General features: G+C 55.5%; 1 annotated feature.

Annotated features, from left to right (window-relative positions):
- Positions 201–702: an enhancer, noted in NCBI's record as "H3K4me1 hESC enhancer chr15:37842319-37842820 (GRCh37/hg19 assembly coordinates)". NCBI's record gives its function as "activates a minimal SCP1, AML or CMV promoter by ChIP-STARR-seq in naive H9 embryonic stem cells {active_cell/tissue: H9 hESC(naive)}" and the evidence as "EXISTENCE:reporter gene assay evidence [ECO:0000049][PMID:30033119]".

Raw genomic sequence — 1,078 nt, 5'->3', positions numbered from 1 at the left:
CTCTATGGAGCTCTATAGAGCAGGCAGCCTCCCAGACCGCAGCTGCGGATCCAAGCTTCCCTGTGGTCTTGAAGGAGGATGGGGAGCAGGCAAGATCTGCCTTCCTGGTGCAGCTGCAGCGCAGGACCCAGCGTCTCTGCAGCCTGCATCCTCAGGGGCCCCGGGAAAGACTCCCCCAATCCCCGTCCCCATCTCTGCAGGCTCAGGAGTGTCTGCTCCCATGGCCTGGCCTCTCTCAGCTCCTAGTTTCTGCTCCGATCCGAGTGGGGTTGGGGCTGAGTCCTGGGGCCTTGAATGGCAGTGGGAGGCAGACACAGTCCTGGGCGGAAGGAAGCAGGTGCCCAGCTAGGCCCCATCTTCAGGCAGAGGAGGGCCTGAAGGCTGGGGGCCAGTTCCGTGGACTGGAGTGGGGACTCGTGGTGCCTTTTCTGGTCAGCCCATGGCCACCCATAAACAGCAGGCACACACTTCCTCCTCTCTGAGGTCCATAAAAGCCCTGGGCTCAGCCAGAGCAGGGCAGAGGACAGCCAGAGAAGGCAGAGATGAGGGGATGAGATGACTAGTTGCAGAGAGGAGTGCCCTCTCCACAGAGAGCTACAGAGACGACCTGCTGGCAGAGAGAAGCTATCCTCTCTACTGAGAGCTTCAGAAACTGGTGGAGAGGAGCTACTGTCTCTGCTGAAAGCTTCAGAGACCTGCAGAGACATCTGAATGACCTGCCTGCAGAGGGTAGCCACCCTCTCCAGGGCCTCCACTCTGTTGAGAGCTGAACACTCAATGGGAAGACCTGCGTACAGAGAGGAGCACCCATTCTATGTCCCCTCTGAGCTGTTCTAACACTAAATACAACTCTCATCTTCTTCACCGTTCTCTTGTCTGCATACCTCATTCTTCCTGGACGCAGGACAAGAACTCAGACAAAGGCGCCCCAGCCACAGAGGTTTCTGGCTAGAAAAATTGACACCCCAGAGATCCTATAACAATATTTTCCTCTATTGCTAAACTGAAAGCAGGTTTTATTATTATGGTTTGGGAAAGGAGGCTGAGACTTCTCTTAATTTAAATGGCAACTCACTTG

Source organism: Homo sapiens, chromosome 15, assembly GCF_000001405.40.
Source record: "Homo sapiens chromosome 15, GRCh38.p14 Primary Assembly".
NCBI classification, from domain to species: Eukaryota; Metazoa; Chordata; class Mammalia; order Primates; family Hominidae; genus Homo; species Homo sapiens.
Note: the sequence above shows the minus strand (reverse complement) of the source record. Positions and strands in the feature narration are given on the sequence as shown.